Source organism: Homo sapiens, chromosome 5 (genome assembly GCF_000001405.40).
Source record: "Homo sapiens chromosome 5, GRCh38.p14 Primary Assembly".
NCBI lineage: Eukaryota > Metazoa > Chordata > Mammalia > Primates > Hominidae > Homo > Homo sapiens.
The window spans coordinates 22,203,788-22,217,486 of NC_000005.10; the positions used below are offsets into that span (position 1 = coordinate 22,203,788).

Sequence of the window (13,699 nt, forward strand, 5' to 3'; positions counted from 1 at the left end):
TAACTGAGGTGAGATGATATCTCACTGTGTTTGTAATTTACATTACCCTGAAGATTAGTGATGTTGAGCATTTTTTCATGTTCCTGTTGGCCATTGTATGTCCCCCTTTTGAGAAATTCTATTCGGATTGTGGGATAAGAACTCAAACACACAGGTTTAGAAGCAAAAATAGATAAATGGGATTACATCAAAATAAAAAGATTATTCATAGCAAAGGAAACAATCCACAGCGCAAAGAGACAACTTACAGAATGGGAGAACATATCTATAAACTATGCATCTGACAAGGGGTTAATATCCAGAATCTATAAGGAACTCAAACAACTCAATCAAATAGAAACATAGAATTCACGTGTTTTTGTTTTGTTTTGTTTGTTTTTTTTTTTTTGTTTTTTGTTTTTTTGAGACGGAGTCTCCCTCTGTCGCCCAGGCTGGCGTGCAGTGGTGCGATCTCAGCTCCGCCTCGGGGTTCACGCCATTCTCCTGCCTCAGCCTCCCGAGTAGCTGGGACTACAGGCACCCGTCACCACGCCCGGTTAGTTTTTTGTATTTTTAGTAGAGACGGGGGTTTCACCGTGTTAGCCAGGATGGTCTTGATCTCCTGACCTCATGATCCGCCCGCCTCGGCCTCCCGAAGTGCTGGGATTACAGGCGTGAGCCACCGCGCCCAGCCCAATTCACATGTATTTTTTTAAGTAGCTGATAACATGTATTTCTATTTGAAGTAGTAAAAAATACAATGTAAAATTCAGACTAGAGCAGCAATAAATCTAGCTTGCCCTTCTGAAAATTCTTTAATGAGTTCTCATTATTCCTGGGTTAAAGTTCGCACCTCTTACACAGGCATCAATGAAGCTGCTCTTTTTTACACATTCACCACTCCATTGTCATGTTCTATCAAACTAATGTGGTGCTGGAGGGTGTCAGGAATGCACCCAACATATCTCTGTGCTTTAGCACATAGGGTGATTTCCATTAGGAGCTAATGGTCTCTCTTTTCCTGTCTGTCTAAATTCAAGCTATTCTTTAATTTACAGATAAGGGAATTCCTCTTGGCCTCTCTGTTTAAGTCAGGAGCTATTTTTTGTGCATTGACAGCAGTCTGTACATATGTTCCATGATGGCAGACCACAAGCATTGTGACTACTCGTTCTTTAGTTCCCCTCTCCCACCATCAGGCTGAGCATATTATGCATAGGAACTAGGCCTTGTCAACATGTATCCCTAGCATCTAGCACAGCACCTAACACTTAAGAGGTACACAATAGTTACTGAGTAAATTCAATGGACAAATGTCAATGAACAAATATGGTTGAATCTTACACATTAAGATTTTATAATGTGTTAAAACGTTAACAACAAAAGCAAAAGCAATTGCCTCAATTCTGATACAACAGCCACAGAAATTAATTTGGAATATTCACTCAATCTTGGTCAACAATATTTTCTGAGGATAAACTCTGTAACAGACACTATCTTAGGTACTGAGTTGCAGCTTTGAATAAAAGAAACAAAAAGCCTGCCTTCATAGAGCTCACATTCTAATAATGGGGAGAGGGGAGAAAAACAATAATCAAATAAATTTAAAAGAATATGGTTGATAAGATTTTAAACATTACAGAAGAAAATAATAGAGAAGAGTAATAGGAAATTATAGGGGCAGGTTTGTAATTTTTAATTTATATTATCACAATGATGGTAATATAAATTATCCAAAATTTATATCTATATTAATGAAATATATTTCCCTCTATTGTTTATAGATTTTAGCAATAAGAAAGAAATATGGCAGTTGAGATTAGAAAGGGAGAAAAGTTTAAATAAAGAAGAGAGATGAAATCAATATCCTTGCAATTCAGTTTTGGGAGAGAAGAAAGTTGAACTGACAAATAAGAAAGTCTTAAGGCTACATTGCTAGAATAAAGAGAACTGAGATGTTACCAGAGAAGTCAGCATTTTCTGATAAGTTTTGAACTTCAGTATGGAGTTATCTTGGGCAATGCTATATACAAAAACTTCTAGATATTGGGAAGGGAGACTGGAGAAGCAATGAACACCCTGTCCCTCTTAATTGCAAGGAATTAAATATGTCAGCGATACTTACCTAAATATTTTGCTTTCTAAGACATCCAACTATTCTATGTCCAAAATGGTTATGTAGAAATCAACAATAGATTAAATATACACACAAAATTTTATATTATATATTAAATATAATATACATATTTCTCAATTTTGACCTGGTTCAGAATTTTTCATCACCTTCCTGAGATGGGAAAAGCTTCTCAAGAAGGTTGATCAACATCTGATTCAGGTGAGCTAGGCAGTGAGTCTCATCCTGTGAAACGTCCTCCAGTAGACACTAGTCCACCCATGGCAGCCATGGGGCAGAGTAGGGGGCAGTGGTGATATGAGAGCAGCATTTCTCATCACCAGTAGCATCAACCTCTCTGGCAGGTTGTCAGAAATGCAGAATCTTGAGCCACACTCTAAAACCTCTAAAAAAGATCCCCAGATAACTTGCGTGCCTGTTCTTAAGGTTTGAGAGTTGCTGGTCTACAGCAGCAGTGTCCAACTGGGGCTACATAATAGAGTTACCTGGGAAATTTTTTTTTAAATCCCAATAATTAGGCCACATTCTTATATATTCGTTTTTGTCAGAATCAACTGTATATGTCTCAAACTGTGGTTCCTGGTTTCTTTTCTACAGCTGAAAGAAATCTACCAAAGTTTTGACCTACTAAACCCACTAAGGTTTGACTTGTGAAATCAGCACTCCAGGAATGAGACCCAGGAATCTACTTCTTTATTTAAGTCACATAGCAGTTGATTCCTATATGTACCAAAATATAAGGTGTGGCTTGGAGGATGAAAAATAATGGATTCCACTGCAAAAAAAAAAAAAAAAAAAAAAAGAGTTTCTCTATGTTTATTATTTGAATCAATATGCAAAGTATGCAATGGAATACTTTTGCATATATACACTGGTAGTTGATAACTTTGTCAAAATTTATAATTAGAGGTTTTAAATACCATAGAAAAATATGGATGAATTAGTGAGTGTGAGGAAATAAAAATACTGAGTCTCTCCAGAGACAGACATTTAGATAGTTATCTTCAAGAGATTTAAAAATATTCTACCACGGTCCGGCGTATTGGCTCACACCTGTAATCCCAGCACTTTGGGAGGCGGAGGTGGATGGATCACGAGGTCAGGAGATCCAGACCATCCTGGCTAACATGGTGAAACCCTGTCTCTACTAAAAATACAAAAAAAAAAAATTAGCCGGTCATGGTGGCAGGCGCCTGTAGTCCCAGCTACTCGGGAGGCTAAGGCAGGAGAATGGCGTGAACCTGGGAGGCAGAGCTTGCAGTGAGCTGAGATTGCGCCACTGCACTCCAGCCTGGGCGACAGAGCAAGACTGTCTCAAAAAAAAAAAAAAGAAAAAAAAAAGAAAAAAAAATTCTACCAAATATTCATTATGCTGATAATAAAAAAATCATGCAAGATGAATGTTTCTCTTCTAAATAAGCAGTCAGCAAACTTTTTCTGTGAAAGACAAAATAGCCAATATTTTTAGCTTTGCAGGCTCTACAATCTTTTTCTGTTCTACTATTCAACTCTGGCTTTGTGGCTTGCAATCAGCCATTGACAAGATGGAAATGTATAGCTGTGGCTGTATTCCAACCAAACTCTATTTACAAAAACAAATCACGGGCTATTTTTCTGGCCCCTGTAATACCAAGTTAGATTGTTGACTACCAGTGGTCAAATGGAACTTCTTTTTCAAGACTTGTTCAATTCCTTTCAATGTACGTAAGAAAGAGTCAAAGTAAAGAATTCAGTTGCTAATTTAGTCCTCATGACAAATAGAATGGTTTCTCTAAAATGGCTCCTAAGTTACATTCTTTTAAGAAACATCCACTTCATCTGTGTAAATCCAACAGGACCCCCAAAAATAGTATGCCCCAAAATTCAAAATGTACTTATATAAACACAGTGTTATGAAATTGTTCCTGGAAGTTTTGCAAGATCCACGTGTTCATTGTTGCTAAGGAGAAAAAAGATCTCTAATTTTTGCTACTTTACAGGTAAGGTGACAGCTAATAATAAGGTTCCCTATTTATAATAACAACTATCATTTTCTGAGGACCTGAGCAATTGTGGATATATCAATTCCCTCCTTTATTTCTCAGAACACTACAATAGGATAGGTACTGTGATTGGCTCAATTTTCAATAACATATAAACAAAGTTTAGACACCTTAACTGACTTGTCCAAGGCCACAGAGCTAGAAAATGCCCTCAGCTGGATTTGAACCAGGTGGTTGAACCTAGAACACGTACAGCCACTAAACATTACTGCCCTATCCATTGTCTACCAGAACTATGAACATGTAAGATACTGAGTTAGTTGTAATATTTTCATTTGTAAGGGAAATAGATGTGCTCAATTTGAATGGATTAACAGGACTAAAACTACAGAGAAAAATGTGAATGTGAAAAATGGGGAAGTCTCACCACTGCATGGTATGCCTGGAATACGATACGGGATATCAACCCAGGATAACACAGTACTTCCTCTGAGAAGCACTCTTTTCTTCTTGTGCTTAGCTATTAGGGTAATTTAGAAAATGTATCTGTTCTTACTGACCTAAGGCAATTAACCTCTTTTCTTTCTTTTCTACTGGCCTCATTACTGCAGCTTATTCATGATTTCCACAGACTGTCCTTTTTACGTTTCTCAACTTCTTTTCCTGGCCACTAACTGCTGAGGCTCCACATGGCATTTCAAATTTAAGATAACCAAGTCAAATATTTGTTATTTCACACAGAACATTTTTATTGGCATGGTTCTCCTGGAAGGCCACATGGTGGTCATTGGCCAGTCTAGAGAGGGCTGTCTTAGACCTTGGCACATTCATTTCTCATCAAATCTACTGCGGCCAGTAGAGCCTAGACACATGGTTATATTTTCTTGGTGGAAACACCTATGCATTGTGAACTGTTACCATTACAAGCTCTTCTACAATATTGTCCTTTATAGATCATATTCATTCTTTTGGAATAGTAATACAGGAGGTAATGTGTACATATACTTTGTGTTTTCTGTTATTCTTATACACAATTAGGATAAGCCAACCGTTTTCCAACAACCTAGAGAATTGAAAGTACGCTGGTTGGTTGTTGGAGATTATACACATATATGCCTTGATCATATTTGTAGTCATTGTGGAACCTGTTATTTACAGTATCTGGTACAATGTCATCTCTTTCCAGATTTGGGAACATGTTGGAACACAATAAATTATCATATTTTATAACCATACAACCTAACTTCTAGTTACCATCTTAGCACATCCTTGGATATGACAGCTAATCATATTAAATTTTCCAGGTCACCTCTAATCTTATAACATCCCTCCCTTCTTGTCACAGGATTAGATCAAATATTAATTGAAAAATATTACCACAATATCAACATGATTAGCTACACTAAACCTCTGTGGACATATGGGAAAGTTTATGTAAAGTCAGCATAGCAAATAGGCTGCTGAATATGTAAGTCTGTTTTTTCTGAAGTCTACTTCCAACATTCAATTCCAACAGTTAGTTTCTCTACCTTTTCTAATATTGTGAATATCTTTCACTATTAACGTGAGTTCCCCTTAACTTCCTTTTAATCGCATTTCAATACAATTAACACTGAATTTATACCTCTACATTTTATTTTATTTTATCCTGAGAGTGTGTCAACCTCTCTTGGAAAGATGTATATGTTACAAATACTAAATTTCAGTAGAGACTTTGCTTACAGTAGAGTGTTTTTTCTGTCAGTAGTAATCAGAATTAGCTGGAAGCAAAGACTTGCACACTAACCTCTTTCAGAAACTAAAAGAACAAAGTACATGCTGGTTTCCAATACTGGTGGTGATGGAATTTACAAAATCACTTATTTTGTGTAAACAAGAGTTCACCTGTTCTGAAGGTAATATGATTACTCTGTACTATCTTAAAAATAGTCTTACAATATTCATGAGTATCATGTCAAGGGCTGGAAACAGTCACCATATATGAGGTAACAAAAAGGTATAGTATAGAGTGTATGAGTTTTAAACACAGCCAGATCTGAATTTGAGTTATAGGTTCATTACTGTGTGCCCTTGGCCCAGTTACATATGCTCTCTCAGATTCCAGCTTTCCTTCTGGAAAATGAGGGCAAATAACATCCATGTTAACATTTCAACTTTCATATGTTTTTATATTTATCATTTATTCATATATAAAAAGTTTATAACTCAGCTATCTGAGTTGAGGAAGCATGTGAGCTAGATTAGATACTGCCTATCTCTAGTGTCTTTTATTGAACATATTACTTATTGAGGAGCAAGTTATAGAAGAACTTGAAGCAAGTTTTGCAAAGTTTTAAAAGATTATTTTATTTAAATTTTGAGACTTCCTACTCTAAGTGAGGTTATCCTATGAGATGTTTTCCCATCTTACAGAAGAAATAAACTACCCTCAATCAAATGAAAAATGGAATTCAATATAGATTAAGGAGGCAGATGCTAAGTAAAATAAACTGTTACTAATTTTCAGTTGAACCCAAGATTTTCTTTATCCTCTTATCAGTATATTGCAAATTCAGACAACTATGACAATGGTAAAACTCCTTTAAGCAATTGCATTTTTAATTTTTTAAATTAAATTTGTATTTTAAGTTCAGGGGTACGTATGGTTGTTTGTTATATAAGTAAACATGTGTATTGGGGATTTGTTGTTTTTTGAATGAGAACTACAATTCCCTCAATTTTTAAACATAGATATTTCATTAGAGAGTAAACGCAACCTTCAATGGACGTACTCTGGTCAGACACTTCAGTGGTCAATACATCCAACAAAAAAGTTCATTGGGTCTGATGCCACCATCAATTCTGAAGTTGGCACAAGGATAGAGATGTTTTCAGCGACATGCAAGTTCGCTAGTAGCAAGTGTGTGTCCCTGTTTGGTTAATGTTGCCTCTTTCTGTTTATCAAGTTGCTTAAAAAAAAAAAAATAAGAAGCCAAAGACCCAGGGACAGCCACTGTAGTCAACACATTCTTCTCTCAATTATCTTTAATTCTATTGAGAAATCATCTCCCCAGGGAAAAGAGATAGAAGTCTCAGAACAAGAGAAGTAGATAAAAGTCTTCAGGTTTTAGCTACAAACATACTGGTAGCCAAGTACACATCAGCCTTTGGGAACCTTGAAAATAGTTTACTCCTCTGGAAGAAGCACTAACATCGACATCAGCCTGAAAAGCTCTCCAGAGAATTTCAGAATGATAGCCAATTATTAGAAAGTGTTCTGACATCTTTATAAAATGTCCCATCTCAAGAGATCCATAGAAGAAAAGGGAAGTCAGCACTTCAGGAAATACGAGTGCTCACTCTGAAAAGCACACTTGAGATACCATTATAAATCTTTATACAAAAGCAGCTAGATATTTACATTTTGCTTTAACAATAGAAATTAATTGTTAAAAATCAACCTGTTTCAGTATTATACGTGATATTTTAAATAATGTTTATTTCATTATTTGAAAACTTTTATGTCATACAATATCAAGGTAAGTGATTGCTATTCTTCAGTATTTAGCCTGCAGACTGATAGATCACATAATTATAGTGATATAATTATTTAATTACTCTTAATTACATAAAAATTTATCATAATATGGAGTAAAACAATCAGGCTATATTTACATGCGCTTAGTAAGGTAGAAAAGAAAAAGTTCAGGTAATTAAACTTTGGAAAAAAGTTGCTTACAATACCTTTCTAGATATTTTTAACAAGCTTACAAGAAAATGGGTAAAAAAGAATTAATATGGAATGGTTTAATCTGAATTACCTGGATAATTGCCCTAAATGATATAGGAAATGTAAGCTTCACTTCAATTCATTATATCTTAATAATAAAAATGAAATAAAACATAAAAAAGATTTTTTTACAAACACGTAATCTCTTATTGAAGAATTCTTTCAAAAACAAGCATTTTAGAAAGCACTTAATTTTCCTTTGCTTTCTTTTTTTATTCATGTCATAAAAGAAATCCACTTCTGTTGAATAAGTACTATAAATTATATGAATGGTACAATAAGTCTTCTAGTTTCATTTTTCTTAATACTTGCATCAGAAACTATAACATTTAAGTTTTAAGTTCCAAATGGATACTATTAAAATATTCAGGGATTTAGTCCTAAATCCTTAAACCAAAAGGGAGCTCAGGAATATTGCTAATGTAGAAAGCTGCACAAAATCTCAACTCGCATTTGCAAATTTTCTTTCCATCTGATTTAACTTTGAAGTTTTCAGACTCAGATTTTACTATATGACATCAACAAATCACTTCAATCAAAACCAATTTACCTTGGCAATGCACAACCCTCCAAATAGATTATTAAAAAGGTAAAATGAGAAATTAACTATCTTTTCATGTTCCCTTTTATTTTCTCTGGATACAAGGCAGAATGAATGTATTTCAGAAGAAATTGCCCTGAGATATCATTATCTCCAACGCCGTTTTCACTCCAGGAAACTTGCTTATAAATTAAGCTTTTCCTGACACAGTCACTTGCTGCAGTGCAGAATGTCAGTTTAGTCAGTTAGAACTTTCAATGCAGAAATTCAGTGCCATGCAGTCACCCGGATAAAGCAGCACTTACCTTAATTGAAATTTTCTCTGTGAACGAGGTGAGAAATCCGTCAAATCAACCGTGAATGGGGTGGGGAGATCGAAGTTTTCAATCAACACCCTCCAAGTAGCTGCATCCTGTGCTCCTTTTCCCTGTTATGTTGAGCTCCTCACTGTCTAAGGAGAGAAAAACATCAGCTGAAATCCTCCGAGGTTCCCAGTGAGTAAATGAGGACTAAGCGATGTTTCTGAACGGGAGATTCTCCGTGAGCGTGCTCCGTTTGGAGGCTCCCTAACACTCTTGGCAGGTCCCTGGAGCCAGGCGTTAATCATTGACCTGATTAGCAAGAACGCTCCGGGTGCGCAGGCAACACACGCCGAGGGTTGGTGGGTCTCCCGGGAACTGGAAAAGGCACCAAGGCCACTTGGGAATCTTGTCTTTTCCAGCCTAATGGATGAACTACAACTATGATTATGATTTGCAAGGAGATTAGCTGCCGTGCTAGCCATCGCAGGACTTAAACAAATGTGCTTTCTCCTGCTGTTTTTCAAGGTGCCTTCGTGTAAGATATTAGGTACAGTGAAGCAATTAATAGACTGATAGAGCTGATTTGTAAGACAAGCTTAAAGCTGAAAAATGTTTAAAGCGATGTGATCAAAGAGATAGCTGCACTTGTCTCTGCCGCTCGCCTGCTACATACTTCAACCTTTGTCGAACTAAAATGAATTTAAAGGTTTATTACAGCCCTCCAGAGTGCAACTCTCTGAATTTATAAAAAGGAAGTATTCATACTAAATAAGCATATTTGGCAGATTGCTACAGACACAAGCACTCAAACCACGGCATGAACACAGCCTTGCTTGTGTAGTTTTCCAAACGGCATTTTCAATTAGCATTACACTTGCAAAAAATGTTTGCATTGTACCCTTAACCAGAGTAATGTAGGAGAATACAGCACTACACCTAACCGAATCATCTCTTTGATTATCTGTTGAAATACTGATTTCCTAAAACAAAAACAAGCAAGCATATGAGAGGATCGAAAATATCTAACAACTTTTTAAACGTAGCTATGTGCCGTTACCAACCTGCTGGTCCCCATCCGTCATCCGCTCTTTCTGCCACTGACCACCTTCTCAGCACTTCCTCATCAAGTTCCTAGTTCCCTGAAGAGATCTAACTCTCTGGAAAAGGTCACATAACTGAATGCCAAAGCCCCAAATGGTTAATTTTTGACAGCTCTCACTTTTGCAGGATAAAATTATGCAAATAACATAAAAAGAACAGATGAAAAAAGTAATTTGCATGTCTTGAGGGTGAGAAAATTCTCATTGCCAGAGAGAAAGCTGACGACTGTCCTCTCACAATGATCCTGAGTGATATGTTCAGCACTTTTGTTTTTTTCCAGTGGGTCTCACTTGGGACATATGGCATTTCTTTGATGTGTGTGTGCGTGTGTGTGTGGGTGCGTGTGCTTGCGTGTGTGTGTGAGAAAGAGAGAGAGGAAGAGCGAGAAGCTATATTTACATTGTGATATTTATATATATCTTAGAAAACCCTCAAATTTCAGTAGGCGAATGCACTAAGTATAAATAATAGAGAATCCGTTTGCCTTATACATTCCCAAATATATTTTTAAAGTATCTCATTAAAATACAAGCTCTTGGTGAAACTTTTTGGACAAAGTAAAACTTCAGGGTAACTGAATTGCTGTTACTAAGGCAGGTACTCATCCTACTCTGAAAACGGAGACGGCCCTGCAGAAGCCCCAGGAGATGGGGCTGTAGCCTCCCATGCAGAGGTCTCTTGCTCCCTCAGCTGGTGGAGGGTGACAGCCGAATGTGAAGAAACCCAGTCAACCACTTCAGGAGAGGGAGAACAATTTTTGCTGCTGTAAAGCAGGAAACCCATTATCCAATTTTAGATTGGCATGAGAGTGTTATAGTAGAAAAGAGGCTGCTTACATCGAAGTAAATGCACCTTGAGCATAAATTGTAAAAATAAGAAAATGTAACTGCTAATTTCTCCTGAGAGGGTTCCAACTAGTCTTTAACACAATACTTGTAAATAACAGTGGGATAGATTCCAGGGCTCTAATGTGTAGTTGGTCATGCAATTAAAGCACTCCGTTTCTCGTATTGGTCTAAGTCCCATTCTGAGGATCTTAAATCGTGAACTATTTTTAAAACTTATTAAAACGTTAAGACAGGGCTTATTTTCCTGAACCCTGCCAGCCAACCCACAATCATCATCACCAACTAAAACAGGTGCACACGAAACTTTGTGCCATAGTAGATGGGTTCTATCTGGAAACTCCAACTCCATGAGACTGCCCTGATGACATTTCCAAATAACCAGCCTTTCTGTTCTCATAAAATCCAGAGGTCTTTCAAAACCCTGAATGGTTTCTATAGAGAGTATGATGACTCTTCAGTAGTTTTTTTAACCTATGTTGGAACACTAATTGATTTTATGTGAAAGTACACACATGAAGAACAAAGCAAAATAAGACCATTTTGTTGGAGGTGTGAGGGGAGACCGTAGTCACATGAAAATAACAGGTACTGTCTATTACATGCTTGCTATGTAGTAAGTGACTGGCATGCACTTCAGCTATAGCTATCCATGAACCCCTTAGTCCAATTCTATTAAGCAGACATTATAATATTTTATTTTTTAATTAATTAAGTTAGGGCTCTGAGAAGTTAAGCAAATTTACCAATGTTGCGTAGTCAGTACAGAAGAAACCCACCACTAAAAGTCAGGTTACTGTAACTATAAAATTAGCAAATATTTGGAAATTCCCAAATGTTAAAACTGATCAAAACCCTTACTTCCAACAGAATGGGAACATTTTCTAGATTTTATGATTAACAAAAATCATTTTCACATCTTTAAAAACCATTTTATAACTGATAAACTATTGTAACAGTTCTGCTATTAAAAGTTATGTATGATTTAGCAGAAAAAAAATTCACAAAAAAAACTTTAGGCTAAAAAATAGATTCCATCCAGAGCTTCCAAATATATAATTCCATTAGCACAAATGACTCAATTTCAAATTTTTAAAAATCCCTTCTGCAATTCATTTGCTCTCCCACTCAAATATAATAATTATTGCTTTTTTAAAACAAGAAAATAGCTCCACTCTAAGTAAACGAATATCTCAAGAACAGCCATAAAAATATATTAGACCAAAATTATGATGATTTTTACTAACCTAGTTCTCCAAGTGGCATAATGTAATAGCAAAGCTCAAATGTACTAGGGAGCTAAAGTTTATCTCTGATTTGTTCATGCTTTATCTACAGGTTTCTTAAAAGTCACATGAATCCTATCATTTCATATGGCTCTTTGAAATTCTCAGACACATCCATAACTTTACAGAGAAGCATTGTGACCACACTCTTTCAAGAAGTTTAATGAAATAAATGATGATAACGCAAACTAATGCAACATTTAAACTTTGCCAAGAACTTATTCTCTCATTTGATTCTTATGGGAATCTTGTGAAATAGGTTACCATAAGTATTTTTCTCATATGTTAGTGATGAGGAATAAAAAGAGCAAGTGATTGTCCTTTGGTGTTTGATAGTGGAAAACCTAATGTCTTCCTTTTTACGTAAGTCCTATTGCTCCCCACTATGTCGAACAAATATGTTTATCTGAGTCATCTTGTTGTCAAAAAGGATCTTAAGTGGCTATATAAACAGAAGTCAGTCTTTCTTCATTTACTTAGGTTTGTTCCAAACAGTGTAAATTGTGATTGTGATTTATTGAAGAAAAAATTACTCTGAGCTGACAGGGAACTTGTGATTTATGTATACTGGAATAGCAACCCTTAGATTTCCTACAGACTTTTCCTGATCTTGGCTATTATTATTTAAATTGGGGATATATGAAGATATTTCCCAAATATTAGTCTTATGATTCTTACACAAATAGAATCTTGCTTCTGTATACCAATGTAGATTCAGCTATTACCTCCCTACCACTGTTTGTGATGGTTTATCAGAACAGACCTTGAAAAATTACTGTTAATTATTTTAAATGGATCTATAAATACATATACATAAACAAGCCACCTAACTAATAACAAATTGATCTTGCAGCAGCAGCATCAAGCTAATACTATCACACAGAGGTTTGCTGAATGCTAACAGATTCTCATGTATTATACATATTTCTGCTTATGTCTAAATCATGGAGGCTGAATGACTAAACTCACCAGCCTTCAAGAGAAATTTTTATTTTTGATTCCGGTTTCACGCACATATACTCATGAGTTTAAGATAAGATGAAATTTTAGAAAAAAAAGAAAGCTAAACTGGATATCAGAAAACTTAGACTATAGTCAAAATTCTAGCAGTGAGTAGTTTTCTAACCGAAGCCATTTAAAAAGCTTCTATTTAATAATTTCATTGGAAAATTTGAGGAAATTAAACTATATTATCTCTAGGATTTCAGTCAGTTATGAAAATGCATCTATTTGCCTAATAATTTGTGATGTTCTTTCTACCTAATTCAGAAATAATCAAGCAATTAAGAAGGAATTATTGTCTGCAAATACATGTTTTCTCCCTTCTCACACCCTTCCATGCCCCAAACAACTTATTTTATACTATAAATAACATTATAGCAAGGATGTGTTGATTTCATAGTTCGAGTAATTAAAAAATCAGCCAGAAATTATTGATGTGAAATTGTAAATGGAGTAGATTAAAAAATTGCTAAGGTCAGGAATATTCTTTAAATGTTTTAAAATAATTATAACACGTTTCTTTAAAAGGTCATGGTTATTTTATTGCAACTAGAATGGATGTTAGCCATCCTCTCTATTGTCCTGATCAGTAAAATTAATGTAAAGGTAACTTAATTAAAATGATTGAGAATTATCTTAAAATTGGAGAGCATACTTAAAGAATGGACACATAATATTAACATATTTTGTGTTTTTAAAAGCACATTTCCAATTTAGTAGACAATTATTTTAAAATAACAAAAAAGCAGAGTGCATAA

General features: G+C 35.5%; 1 protein-coding gene and 1 long non-coding RNA gene across 10 annotated transcripts in view; one reads left to right on the forward strand and one right to left on the reverse strand.

The window, feature by feature from the left end:
- The window catches only part of CDH12 (cadherin 12), a 1,102,672-nt gene that overhangs the window by 453,115 nt on the left and 635,858 nt on the right, over positions 1 to 13,699 (reverse strand). For 5 of the 9 annotated variants that reach the window (NM_001364104.2, NM_004061.5, NM_001364106.2 and 2 more), the window contains one exon: positions 8,711 to 8,856. The gene's annotated coding sequence lies outside the window, so the exon portion shown is untranslated. 9 annotated transcript variants of the gene reach the window in all.
- Positions 8,645 to 10,818, forward strand: LOC105374682 (uncharacterized). The gene is made up of 2 exons (XR_925845.4): positions 8,645 to 8,738; positions 9,127 to 10,818. It is a non-coding gene; the product is annotated as an uncharacterized LOC105374682 (long non-coding RNA).